The sequence below is a fragment of the Homo sapiens genome, chromosome 4 (genome assembly GCF_000001405.40).
Source record: "Homo sapiens chromosome 4, GRCh38.p14 Primary Assembly".
Lineage (NCBI taxonomy): Eukaryota > Metazoa > Chordata > Mammalia > Primates > Hominidae > Homo > Homo sapiens.
Genome location: NC_000004.12, coordinates 188,465,073 through 188,480,102, shown reverse-complemented (window position 1 = coordinate 188,480,102; position 15,030 = coordinate 188,465,073). Strand labels below are relative to the sequence as shown.

The window sequence follows — 15,030 nt, the reverse complement described above, 5'->3', positions numbered from 1 at the left end:
TTATATTAAAATATGCCATTGTAAGTTGAAACATTTTTGCATAAATTTTTAAAATTCTCATATTCAGAGAAAGAAGTATGTGAGAAATTATCCATAAAGTGGCTGATATGGCATTCTGAATTTTAAAATTGGGTATACAGAAAACAAGTTATTTTAACTTCAAAATGACTATTTGTAAAATTAAGCCCACCTTATACACAGAAGACTTGGAAATTTAGGGCCCATCAACAAAAAGGGAAAAGTAGATTTATTCAATCAGTCCATTGGTTGCATTTGATTATTTTACAAAAATTTAAAAATCATTAAGAATTGAGGTGTCTCTTTAAAAAAATCATTCCTGAAATGTGTATAGAATTGTGATGCTATCATGCTACCTAACTTCAAAGTATACTACAAGGCTACAGTAACGAAAACAACATGGTACTGGTACGAAAACAAATATATAGACCAATGGAACAGAACAGAGGCCTCAGAAATAACACCATACATCTACAACCATCTGATCTTTGACAAACCTGACAAAAACAAGGAATGGGGAAAGGATTCCCTGTTTAATAAATGGTGCTGGGAAAACTGGGTAACCATATGTAGAAAGCTGAAACTGGATCCCTTCCTTACACCTTATACAAAAATTAATTCAAGATGGATTAAAGACTTAAATGTAAGACCTAAAACTATAAAATCCCTAGAAGAGGCCGGGCGCGGTGGCTCACGCTTGTAATCCCAGCACTTTGGGAGGCCGAGGCGGGCGGATCACGAGGTCAGGAGATCGAGACCATCCTGGCTAACACGGAGAAACCCCGTCTCTACTAAAAAAATACAAAAAAATTAGCCGGGCGTGATGGCGGGCGCCTGTAGTCCCAGCTACTCGGGAGGCTGAGGCAGGAGAATGGCGTGAACCCAGGAGGCGGAGCTTGCAGTGAGTCGAGATCGCGCCACTGCACTCCAGCCTGAGCCACAGAGCGAGACTCCGTCTCAAAAAAAAAAAAAAAAAAAAAATCCCTAGAAGAAAACCTAGGCAATACCATTGAGGACACAGGCATGGGCAAAGACTAAAACACCAAAAGCAATGGCAACAAAAGCCAAAATAGACAAATGGGATCGAATTAATCTAAAGGGCTTCTGCACAGCAAAAGAAACTACCATCAGAGTGAACAGGCAACCTACAGAATGGGAGAAAATTTTTGCAATCTACCCATCTGACAAAGGGCTAATATCCAGAATCTATAAAGAACTTAAACTAATTTACAAGAAGAAATGAAACAACCCCATTAAAAAGTGGGCAAAGGATATGAACAGACGCTTCTCAAAAGAAGACATTTATGCAGCCAACAGACACATGAAAAAATGCTCATCATCACTGGCCATCAGAGAAATGCAAATCAAAACCACAATGAGATACCATCTCACACCAGTTAGAATGGCGATCATTAAAAAGTCAGGAAACAACAGGTGCTGGAGAGGATGTGGAGAAATAGGAACACTTTAACACTGTTAGTGGGAGTGTAAATTAGTTCAACCATTGTGGAAGACAGTGTGGCAATTCCTCAAGGATCTAGAACTAGAAATACCATTTGACCCAGCCATCCCATTACTGGGTATATACCCAAAGGATTATAAATCACGCTACTATAAAGACACATGCACATGTATTTTATTCTAGCACTATTCACAATAGCAAAGACTTGGAACAAACCCAGATGTCCATCAATGATAGACTGGATTAAGAAAATGTGGCACATATACACCATGGAATACTATGCAGCCATAAAAAATGATGAGTTCATGTCCTTTGCAGGGACATGGATGAAGCTGGAAGCCATCATTCTGAGCAAACTATCACAAGGACAGAAAACCAAACACCGCATGTTCTCAATCATTGGTGGGAATTGAACAATGAGAACACTTGGACACAGGGCGGGGAACATCACACACCGGGGCCTGTTGTGGGATGGGGGGAGGGGGGAGGGATAGCATTAGGAGATATACGTAATGTAAATGATGAGTTGATGGGTGCAGCACACCAACATGGCACACGTATACATATGTAACAAACCTGCATGTGTGCACATGTACCCTAGAACTTAAAGTATAATAAAACAAAATAAAATAAAATACAATATAATAAAGTAAAAAAGAACTGTGTGTTCTTTTAGTAAAAAGAACTTCCAGGTGTAGTTCTGGACTTACTCTTCCATGCATGCCGGCACCACATAACAGAGTTTCCATCTAGTGCAGATTTGTTTACAACAATGCTTTCTCGGGGACTGCATATGCGTTTGTCTTTTATGGACTTCCAGAATGCCAATGTGGACAGGCTCCTTCCAGGACTGTGAATGTGCAGGAGTCCACTGTCACGGGGATATCATTCAGATAACTGTCTTTAGACTTGAAAGAATCATAGCAGAGTCTCAGCAAATACTTAGCAGACACTGCCTTGGTCATTTTGATGTCCCAAGGGTAACCTGAAATACAATTCAACACTCACATCCTCTCCTGTCTCCAAAAATAAGGATAAAACTCTTGGCATGCAAAAGCAACAAATATTTAGAGGCCCTAAAGCAAGTCTGTAGTGAGCATGAGTTCTGGAAAGTTAATATACAAAGCCCAAGACCAGTAGGATACTGTGGAGCAGACCAGCTGAGAGATTCCAGAGTGATTTCACAGCAAACCTTCAATACATATAGAAATACACCGAAGACCAAATTCTCCTGTATGAAGAGTTTTATCATTTATTACCTAGAAAGCAAGCTATGCATTTACATAATAACACAGTCCTCTCAGACTGGGATCACTGTGGAAGCATGTTGGATGATATTCAAATTCTCTGAACTGGGTATGCATTGAAAGCTGTGGGGCATTTCATTTAAAATTTAAAAAGTATAAAAGTATAATTTTCTAAGAACCGTGGATTGGAAGAGTTACTTTCCTTCCACAGTAACTTATCTTGGCCAAAGGAAAACCTTCAGCTTGGCAGGACCCACGGTATCACAGATCCATGCCCTTTGGCATAAATATCTAAAATGTTTTGACTACCTTTGGAAACAAAAAAAGCTGTGAAGGCAAGATGGAGTGGAGAAGAGGAAAGAATTGAGGAGAGATTCTGCTATTATTATTTTTAAAATCTTGGTTGATTGCTTTCTTTGATTTTGTTTTCTTTTAAAGTAACTTTGCAATAAGTAATAGAAGAAAAAGTATATAACTTAGGACAAAAGAAATAAAAATGATATTTAAAATAAAATTTTGATCAGAAGCAGATTTCCCCTCTTAGTACCAACCTATATTGCATATTTTTCATATTTTAAACATGGAAAATAAGTATACTTTATCTAATAATTATACTTACTAATAACTGTCTTCTGTCAAACAGAAAAAGATGTAAGTAAACTGCATTCTTCAGTGTTACTGTGAATAGATAGAGAAAAATATTTTTAATAGAACAATGTTTCCTAGTTTCATAATTTTAAAAAAATTGGCCAGGCACCGTGGCTCACGCCTGTAATCCCAGCACTCTAGGAGGCCGAGGCAGGCAGATCACGAGGTCAGGATATCAAGACCATCCTGGCTAACACGGTGAAACCCTGTCTCTACTAAAATACGAAAAAATTAGCCGGGCATGGTGGTGGGCGCCTGTAGTTGCAGCTACTTGGGAGGCTGAGGCAGGAGAATGGCGTGAACCCAGGAGGCAGAGCTTGCAGTGAGCCGAGATCACGCCACTGCACTCCAGCCTGGGCGACAGAGCGAGAATCTGTCTAAAATTCTTATTTAGTCTTGAGCACTAAATAAATGTGACTGATAATATTTTGGAGAATAAACATAACTTAAGTAACTTTACTAAAAATTAAAAATTCATACAAAAGTTATCTCGTTCACATAATTTTTCATTCAAAAAACTGATGAGTAAAACATAACTTTGCTCTTGAACTGCAATTTTTCAAAATATTTAACCAACAAAAATCAAGACTTTCATTTTATAAACTTAGAAACAAAATCAGCACACCCCAAATTAGTGATGAGACAACTTCTGTAATTTATTGCAAAAGATTATACTCAGATATCAAGACACATGTAAAGCTCCACCTTAACGAACATAATGGATTAGGAGACACAGCATTCTTATGGCATAATGCACTAAATTTCATAATGTAAACCCAAATTATATTTCAGATTCTGTCTCTAATAAGTCACATGGGATAAGCACTTCACCACTCTTACTTACTTTAAAGAATTTATTATCTCTTCTTCAGCAACCCAATCCCAGAGTCATACTTTGGGTAATTTCATCACCTACTTTGCCTTGCCTCTTATCACTCTCCTTCTAACTTCCGTATTTCTATTTGTTCTCCATGAATCCACTAAGTCCTCCAACCTCTTGCCTCCCTCCATTTTCTCCTAAGCTTTCAAGCCCTGCTGTTTTCCCTTGTTTCTGCACTCAGCCAGGACCAACAATCTATGTATTATTTCATCCAAGAACCCTCGATATCCTTAGTCCTTCCCTATACTACCCCTGAAAATGTCCAGTCCTGGAGCCAGTAAAGTGTAGTTAAAAATGGAGAGTTTTTTGTTTCACTTAGGCCAGATTTATATCTGCCTCACCATTCAGCAGAGTACTTTTCTGCCACCATTCTCATTGATTCCCCATAGAGTGGTGACAACAATGTATAGATTGCAAGAGCTGTTGCAGAAATGAACCATGTGAGCTTGGGCCACATTCTCCAGTGTCTGATATGACAGCTGCTTAATCAAGAATAGCACTTTTCTACTTCTTTTTAAAATTCTCAGGCTGGGCACAGTGGCTGACACCTGTTATCCCACCACTTTGGGAGCCCAAGGAGGGTGGATCACGAGGTCAGGAATTCAAGACCAGCCTGGCCAAGATGGCGAAACCCCAACTCTACTAACAATACAAAAAAATTAGGCAGGCATGGTGGTGGGCACCTGTAGTCCCAGCTCCTCAGGAGGCTGAGGCGGAGAATTGCTTGAACCCGGGAGGTGGAGGTTGCAGTGAGCCGAGATTGCGCCATTGCACTCCAGCCTGGGCGACAGAGTGAGACTCTGTCTCAAACAAACGAACAAAAATTCTCCAAACACTAAGCACAAGAGGAGGAAGGCACACACCCTACGGCTAACAGTGCTCTGACAAAGGCATTGTTTCCAGAGCTGCATTCCTGACATTGTGCACGCAAGAGGATGTTTATTTGATTAGTTACCATCTTTTCTGATTATCTTCAGCTATCTTATCAAAGCTTTTCCTTCTCTAGTCTCTTACCCTCTGTCAGTGCTCTGTAGCCTCAGCAGGTGTGGTTGACATATATTTTATAAAGATGACCAGGACAACCTTCAAAGCATCATAATATCTCCTGCAACCAGCCCTGGCCATCGATGAATAGTATAACCTTCCACTGCTGGTGTCTTCGGAAGCTGCAGGAAAGTGTCCATGTCAAGGAATCTGTGTTCATTGAGAAATATATTTTCTTTCTCTTATAAATGATTGTCATGCTTCCTATTTTTTCCATCAAAATAGTTGAATGTTTGTAATATTAGGAGTTAGGAATTTTACATCTGAAGTTTAGATGTTGTTTGGATAGTTCTACAGTATTTACAGGGTCCGTGGTAGGAAGGAATACAGCCCAGCAGTGAGGCCTACACTTACGTGCATAAGGTTTATTTTTGTGTATTGAAAACACAGAACACTGTGTACATTTCTGGTCCTTAAAATACCATTTTCAAAGACATAAGTACATTGAAACTCAAGGTATAATTTTGATTATAGCCAAAACATTTGAGTGTTTGGTTCTCTTCTGTGCGTGCATCATTACATACCAACTGGACACATTATGCAGAACGGGGACTGCAAATACAGCCTGGGGGCTGCCCATGGTCTTCTGACATGCTACCTTCTGTTATTCTACTCATTTCATGACTCTAGACCCTAATGACTCTCTAAATGCCCTTTTGAGGAATGGTTGATCAAAATGAAAATGGCAGCCCCCATTCCCAGCTGCATGGGATGATAGAAGGATGTACGGCCAAAGTAACACGGCTAGGAGGAAAAGTTCTGTGCTGCCTTCCGGAATTTGACCCTATTTGAACTTTACTCATGTTTTACATACCAGAGGCTTCTCCACCATTGAAAAAGAAGAAAAGAATGCTAAATGATGACTTCATGTGGAAAACAGAAAAGCAGACACTTCTTGGGTCTGGATTGTGACCTGGCACCTGATTTCTTCTTTGATTATTGAGAAGCTCAACATGTACCAGTCCACAAGCAGCAGATAAGCTGTAATAATGCATGAAGCGAGTAGAGCCAATTAACCAGCACATACTGTGTGTTTCTGCTACTGTGGCCACATGCTGGGCTATTATCTAATCACAAAAAGATCAAGGCCACCATCATTAAGTAAGTACATCTCTAAGGTCATTTTGGAAGCCAATTCAAATATCTATTTATGAAGATAAATATCATAAATGATGTGATTATATTTCTGCTTAGAGTCTGTACAAATTGTAATAATCTAAATACATTTATAGCTTCCTGAAAGAATAAAATATTACTATTTATATCCTGTCTCTGATATCCCCTATGTAGACAAAAAGAGTAAAAACAGGTGAGAGAACTGATCTTAAAATACTGTAGGAATCACTGTGAAAAATATCTCACGAATACAAGGACATCTGGGCCAAACTGAAGAAGTACAAAGCACAAAAACCTTACCTTTTAGACCCTGAACATGGCATCAATGTCCCTGAGACCTCCAGGGACCTGAGAACCCAGAGAAGAATATCCTAGTTAGAAGAGAGACTTAGGGGTGCGATAATGCCGTGGGAGAAGTGGAGAACATTGCTCTGGAGTACTCCATTCTGAGAGAGAAAGAGAAAGAGGGGGTATCCAGATTTAAGGGTGACTCTGCAGGTTATTACAATTCTTTACTTCAACACAAATCCTAATTTAGAGGTCAAGCACAGAGAAGAAAAGTTACAAACATTGAAAAGAGAAGAAAAACTGCAGTCAGCTTTGCACCGACCAGAAACAACTGAGCTGAAAACAAAACGACTGTGGATTAAAGAGCTTCATTGAGAGACATGCTGACATTTCGTCTGAGGGCGATCTGCGCAAACCGAAGGAGGCTGTAACCATCTGCAGAGAGACGTGTCCCTAGAAAACAGGCCCAAGTGGCTGTGCCCATCACTGACAGACTGGATCAAGAAAACGTGGCACATATACACCAGGGAATACTGTGCAGCCATACAAAAGGATGAGTTCATGTCCTCTGCAGGGACATGGATGAAGCTGGACACCATCATTCTCAGCACACTAACACAGGAACAGAAAACCAAACACCACATATTCACTCATAAGTGGGAGCTGAACAATGAGAACACATGGACACAGGGAGGGGAACATCACACACTGGGGCCTGTCAGAAGCTGGGGGACTAGGGGAGGGATAGCATTAGGAGAAATACCTAATGTAGATGACGGGTTGATGAGTGCAGCATACCACCATGGCACATGTATACCTATTTTGTAACAAACCTGCACGTCTTGCACATGTATCCCAGAACTTAAAGTATAATAAAAGAAAGAAAAAATAGACCCAAATTGAAGTGCCCTAAATCATTCTTATGTCCCACTAAAGTATGTATATATTAAAAAATAAAACTTTTTTTTTTTTTGAGACAGGGTCTTGCTCTGTCACCCAGGCTGGAGTGCAGTGGTGAGGTCTCAGCTCACTGCAACCTCCACCTCCCGGGTTCAAACGATTGCTCTGCCTCAGCCGCCCGAGTAGCTGGGATTACAGGTGCGCACCATTACACCCAGCTAATTTTTGTTTTTAGCAGAGATGGGGTTTTGCCATGTTGGCCAGGCTGGTCTTGAACTCCTGACCTCAGGTGATCCCAAATTGCTGGGATTACAGGCATGACCCACCACGTCTGGCCAAAAAACAAAACATTTTAAGAGAGATAAATTAGAGTAAATATGTACAACATAAATTAACAACAGAACTAATTTCCTGATAAATTAAAATTTCATGAAAGTCAGTAAGAAAAAAAACCAGTTATTTAATTATAAATCTGGTCAGAAGAAAAAACCAGGCAAGACATATAAAAGTAGTATAAGGGGGCTGGGCACACTGGCTCACACCTATAATCCCAGCACTTTGGGAAGCCGAGGCGGGCAGATCATTTGAGGTCAGGTGTTCAAAACTATCCTGGCCAACATGGTGAAACCCCGTCTCTACTATAAAAAAATACAAAAATTAGCCAGGCGTGGTGGTGCACGCCCTTAATCCAGGCTACTCGGGAGGCTAGGCAGGAGAATCGCTTGAGCCCAGGAGGTGGAGGTTGCAGTCAGAAGAGATTGCACCACTGCACTCCAGCCTGGGTAACAGAGTGAGACTCCGTCTCAAAAAAAAAAAAAAAAAAAAAAAAGGTAGTATAAGGGTGGGCACAGTGGCTCATGCCTGATTCCCAGCACTTTGGGAAGCTGAGGCAGGAGGATCACTTGAGCCCAAGAGTTCGAGACCAGCCTGGTGTTCTCTAAAACAAACAAACAAACAAACAAACAAACACACGATTAGCTGGGCATGGTGGTTCACACCTGTAGTCCTAGCTACTCAGGAGGCTGAGGTGGGAGGGTAGCTTGAGCCCAGGAGTTCAAGGCTGCAGCGGGCTATGATCATGCCATTGCACTCTAGCATGGGCAACAGAGTGAAACCCTGTTTCAAAAAAAAAAAAGTGGTAGTATATGAGAAGATGATTCCCATTCAGAAAGTGAGATACATTCAGTAGTCGTGTATGAGAAGATGGTAATCCTCATTCATAAATTGACATTCATTCATTTAAACATTCATTAAGCTTATTGAAGTGAGCCATTTGGCAAAGTCAGAATCCCGCTGTGTGACCATGTTAAACAGGTTGTGGGACAATGGGCAATTATTCTATTGATATTACCATGCGGGAATGGAAATTGAAACAGTTTTGGAGAATCAGCTTTGGAGACAAGTTATATTTTATCCAGGGATTTCACTCCTAATAGAAGCTGGAGCTACACTTGCAAAGAGACTTGCTATTAAAAATTATAGTACATTCATATAATAATACAATATATTGTCACCAAAAACTAATTAGGCAAGTATGTATGTAATATATATGTAATACTTGTGAGAGTATAGATATGTGAGACACTCGAGATATTGTTTAACTTAAAAAGTAACTGTCAGAGTGTGTATAGAGTAGTTCATTCATGATAAATTTTATATTGTTATATATAATATACTTCCTATGTATAGAAAATAACTGGAAGTCCGTGCAAGAAACTGTTTCCTCTGAGAACTGGAATAAGAGTAAAAAGGGACATTTATTTTTCACTTAATCCTTGTCTATTCTGTTCCCAAAATATTTCTTACCAGCATAGGAAACTCTCAGAGGAAAAACATTTTTTGGAAATATTCGATGTACTTAAGATAATTTTAGGAAGGCATCCTTAAATATTACTATCTTCCAGTTTTATAATTTTTGTCTGAAGTCCAACTTTGAGAAAATAAAACACATTAATGTTGAAGTTGGTGGTCTCTACTGAGACATACAGATGCATATGAACTGGTTAACTTACGTAAGTGATGAAAGTAATAAATTTGATAATATTTAGATAAAAACTTTTTTCTCTTAAAGAAAAATATATTTTGCTATGACAAAATATTTAACAATAAACTTTTATTTCTAATAATCTTCTGTGAATCTGCAGCCATTGCAAGCCTGTTTTTGTTTTTATGGTAATAATATCCAAACAAACCAACCAAAAAATATAGAGCAGGGCCAGGATTTGAAACAGCACACTAATGATGAACGTCTATTAAACTATAAAATCCCAGTAGAAAAATGATACTATATTAAAAATGGCATTATATAAATAAAAATGTGTATTTATTATTTAAATTATTATTTTACTTTAAAAGGGAAAACATGTTAAACCAATTGATTTGATAGGGGTACCGGACTCTTGCTTTCTTCTGTTCCAGATAGGTAATTTTAGAAACCCCTTTTACAAGTGACGTTATTTCTTCATTACTTTAGAAATCTTGGCAAGAAGAGTTTTTGTTTTGTTTTTCTTTTATTTCTTCTACTTTTTTGCAAATCACCTTCATTGTGTCTAGGTGTGACAGGAATCAAAGAGGAGCCGTGCTGAATAAAACTCCTGGCATGGGCCTCTGGTTTTGCAAAAACCACAATAAATAATAATCCTACTTCTCTCTGGTAGCACTTGCCATATGATGAAATATACTACATTACTACAAACAGCAGAAAATCTTAAGTTTCTGCGTTTGCTGAATAATGAAATTGACAAAAGAGAAATTTATTAAGAAATATAAAACAATTGATGACATTTAAAACACATTTTTATTTAATTCACATATATTTATTATAACCCTCACCAGTTTTTTTGTTTGTTTGTTTGTTTGTTTTCTGAGATGGAGTCTCGCTCTGTCCCCCGGGGCTGAAGTGCAGGGGCGCGATCTCGGCTCACTGCAAGCTCCGCCTCCCGGGTTCCCGCCATTCTCCCGCCTCAGCCTCCCGAGTAGCTGGGACTACCGGCGCCCGCCACCACGCCCGGCTAATTTTTTGTATTTGTAGTAGAGACGGGGTTTCACGGTGTTAGCCAGGATGGTCTCGATCTCCTGACCTCGTGATCCACCCGCCTCGGCCTCCCAAAGTGCTGGGATTACAGGCGTGAGCCACCGAGCTGGCCCTCACCAGTCTTAATAATTATTATTATTTCCCCAAAATGAGTAAGTTGAGGCTTTGAGCATGTCTGATGTTACACAACTAACAAACAGCAGGACTGAGTCTGTCTGACCCCAAGCCATCTTAATCATGGGGCCACATTCATGGAGATGAAGCCTTGGTCTACAAACCTGTAAAATTCTACCTTAGTTAACAAGAAAACAAGAACTCCAAAATGCTCATACATATTCTGATTATATGCCAATTAAATTTACTTTTTTTTTCTGAAAGAGCTTTTCCCTTTATCTACTGGGTGATCAATTTTTATCTCCCATGTCCCATATTGGTATGTTATTTACTATGTCTTATACTTTTTTCAGAATAAATGATGCTTAAATGTCCAAATTTTGGTACGTTTTGCAAATAATAATGCAAATTTAAGTATAAATTAGAGAAAAATGGGCTGGGCGCGGTAGCTCGCGCCTGTAATCCCAGCACTTTTGGAGGCCGAGGTGGGCGGATCACGAGGTCAGAAGATCGAGACCATCTTGGCTAACACGGTGAAACCCCGTCTCTACTAAAAATACCAAAAATTAGCCGGGCATAGTGGCGGGCGCCTGTAGTCCCAGCTACTCAGGAGGCTGAGGCAGGAGCATGGCGTGAACCCGGGAGGCGGAGCTTGCAGTGAGCTGAGATAGGGCCACTGCACTCCAGCCTGGGCGACAGAGCGAGACTCTGTCTCAAAAAAAAAAAAAAAATTAGAGAAAAATGCTTTAATCATATTTATAACTAAACCAAACTTTTAATTAATTACATTTAAGTTTCCAGTAAATTTTATTACTTAAAAAGTCCATATAATTCTGGACTAATTATGTTAGCTGATTACCAAAACCCACACTGCTATTAACATGCCTGTGTCAATAATATTTTTTTAACAGTTCATTAGCATGGACTATTACATAATGTTCTCCTTGAAATAATCCATTGTTGCTTCTTCCTTTAAGGAAATTGGATAAATTCATTGCAACAAAATATTTCTATATAATCCGAGTAACAGTTGATACCAAACTGTGTCAAATATGTACAAAAGTGAAAGGGGTATTTAAGTGTGATTTTCCTAAAAAGTAGATATCTAAGTCTGTATAAATAAAATGAATATTTCAAAGATTTACTTATTTGCTTCCAGGCATCAGAATTAATTACCACAGTCCATTTTAAGAAGAGTAAGAGTTAACACCTTTCTCGATGTATAAAAGCAATTCAGTGTGAATAAAGTACCCAGTATATCCAGAACATTGACACTTGAGCTAGACAGAAGTGACCAGCATGATTTCCAAATGATCATTTTTATTAGATAACTGAGGTATTATTAAAGAGAATGTTCCAGTCTTTGAAGTGTAAGTGTCTGCCAAACCAGAAGCCCTGCCCCTTTAATCTGCATTTAATTATATTTTCTTCATGGCCCCTTGGTCTGCTCTTTCTCATACTTAAACAATTTTATTAGTTGTAATGCATCATGAATCTAAGCGTAAATCTGGATGTGAAAGTATCACTAAGAGATATCTCAGCTTAATTCTTTTCTGGGTCGACTCAATTTTAGCAGTTGGGTTTGTTTTCAAAATACGTCCCGAATACATTCTCATAACTCCTGGAGTTGCATATTTGTCTTTATTTTCTATTCCTACTTTACTAAGCACACCTTTAGATAAAAAATCATGGCCATTTTTTCTTCAGCATCCTCACAGTCACCCCATATTCCATTACAGGGGGCCTCTCTATTGCTGTCTAATGAGTATAACTTATCACACTCGCTATTTGGTTTTGACTTTGGAAATTTCTGCACAGTGAAAGTTCTTGAATTTGGGTTTGCTTATTTGAAATCACCAAATATTCACTTAAAATAATAAAAATCAAAATATGTTTTATGAGTATTCAAAATGATGGAATATACTTGATAATTTGGACTAATCTTATGGAGTCAATTTGTCTTTGGCATAATGATCTCAAGATTTTCCTTTACACTTGGTGCTGTCTTAAAAAAACACTCGATAGCAAGACAATTTGAGATTAATCAAAATTAATATTAATTGGCCTAAACTTATTAAACTGAACATTTTACTGTTAAGCAAATTATACCTCAATGTTAAATTCATCCATTTATCCACCCATCCATCCACCCATCCATCCATCCATCCCAAGTCTTCTTCACTGGCGACCAGTCTTTGATCACAAGCTATCTGGGAATTCCACTCAAACCTGCCTCTGCGTGTTGGACACAGTGTACGCTACTGGTGGCAAGTTACTAGCATCTGAGGAGTCTGCTGTTGGCTCTTTAAGTTCTATTCTACTCAAGGGAAACCCCTCTTGCCTCTCGGCCACACACGTCCCCAAGTAAAGGCAACCTGCATCTGAAGTCAGGTTGGGTGTAGTTCAAGGAAGGGGAGGATCTTTTACTGGCTGCATTTTCATAGACTTTGTTCTCTTCTTCAAAGGCCTCTATGAAAATTCATATGTGAGAATTGCACCTTAAAATCTGGGACTGAGTAACAACACCTTATAAACCAGTTGGCCTCAATGGTATGTTTCTTGTTTTCTGTCTTTCCTCGTTAAAATTGTTCTTTTTTATAGAAACAATATGCCTTCTTAATTTCTAACTTCATGCTAGATTTCTCCATTTATCTGTCTTACTGAGCATGGAGTACTTAAGAGCATTTAATGATCAAAAATATAAGTTAAATAAAAGATAATGCAATTTTTCAGATGAGAAAACTAAAAGTCAAGTACTTGAAGTGCATATACATAACTAGAGTAGCATTTAGAGAGAAAAAATATTAATTGACCTGATATTATAAATATATTTTTATACTTTTCAAAGTGCGCACACACACTTATGCACATAAAATTTAACCAACATTTGCATATGTGCCAAATACTGTTTTACACGCTTCATAAATATTCACTCGTTTAATCCTCATGATAAACTAGAACACAGATACTATTATTAGGCAGCTTTACAGATGGAAGTGTGAAGAGGTTTGCCTATGGTTATGAAAATAGTAAGTGATTTGAACCTCTATGTCATACTGAGTATCATGGTGTAGAAAAAGGAAGCTTACAACGTAGGCCAGATAAATATTATCATCTCCATTGGGGAAATGCAGAAATCCAGGCAGGGAGCATTTAAATGTTTGGCTCCAGGGTACTTGAATAGATTGGAGCTATTCCAGGAACCCATAATGAAGGTTAGTTCTGATTCCTGTCCAATTTTTTCCCCATTATGTTATATTGCCAAAGTTTCTGCAGTCTTGATAATCACACCAAGCAAATATGAGTTTGTTAAATTATTTCTCCAAGATATAATTTATTGATATTAAATTTTAGCATTAGAATAAATGTTTATGAAAACACAATCAGGATGCAAAATAAAAAAAAAGTTGAATTTAGTACATAAATGATATGAACAAAATGCATGAAGTACCAAGCTTCAAATGCAGTATTTCAGATCAATAGTTTATACCATTTTAATTCAACAAATGTCTATTGAATGCTTAATATATTCATGGGCTATAGAATAAAACTAAGAAACAGAGGAGATCTAATCCCTGACTTCAAGTTACGAATCATCAGACAAGCACGTAGGATTCTATCATTTTTTTTTTATCTTAGGAAGGAAAATAAAATGATTTTGAAGACACTCAGCAACAGGTATGGTTTAATATAGGGCTTGGATTACTTTTTCCTTTCCTAATTGTACCATATAAATAACGATGAAATTGAATTAAGAAAATATGGTGTTGAATCACAGCAATATATGATCTTAATCAAATCCTGTAATCTCTTTTATATTCAGATCATCCATTGTTAAAATATAATTCGTAATGCTTACCTCAAAAGTTAGGAAAATAAAATACTATATAAAGGATTGTGTAAACCATAGCATGCTGTAAAAACTGAATTAGATCATCTAAGTGAAATTAATATTTACATTTAAAGCATAGAGACCTATTTGTAGTCAATTACACCTTACTATTACCTGAGGAAAATGCAAAGGAAGATTCATTGCAGTGTACCTGTGGAGAGCCACAGGCTGTGCCAGAGACTGTAAATAACATAATCTCAATTACTCTTCATCATGCCTCTATAAGTGGTCATCGCATAATATGAGGAAGCTGAGTGTCAACGTGACTCTATGACATCTCTGAGGTCATAGCATTAGAACGTAGTAGAACTTAGGTCTCATTTCAAACTTAGGTCTTTCTAGCTTGAAAAGCTCTTTCCATACCTCCATGCCATCTCAGCAATTTGG

At 38.2% G+C, this 15,030-nt stretch overlaps 2 long non-coding RNA genes across 2 annotated transcripts in view; one reads left to right on the top strand and one right to left on the bottom strand.

Moving 5' to 3' along the window:
* LINC01060 (long intergenic non-protein coding RNA 1060) overlaps positions 1-15,030 on the bottom strand; it is a 146,331-nt gene that overhangs the window by 121,806 nt on the left and 9,495 nt on the right. Inside the window, exon 3 of the long non-coding RNA NR_033869.1 lies at positions 3,347-3,405. This is a non-coding gene — a long non-coding RNA (long intergenic non-protein coding RNA 1060). The remainder of the gene's footprint in view (positions 1-3,346; positions 3,406-15,030) is intronic.
* Positions 13,225-15,030, top strand: part of LOC105377609 (uncharacterized) — a 38,280-nt gene continuing 36,474 nt past the window's right edge. The window contains exon 1 of the long non-coding RNA XR_001741960.2: positions 13,225-13,301. This is a non-coding gene — a long non-coding RNA (uncharacterized LOC105377609). The remainder of the gene's footprint in view (positions 13,302-15,030) is intronic.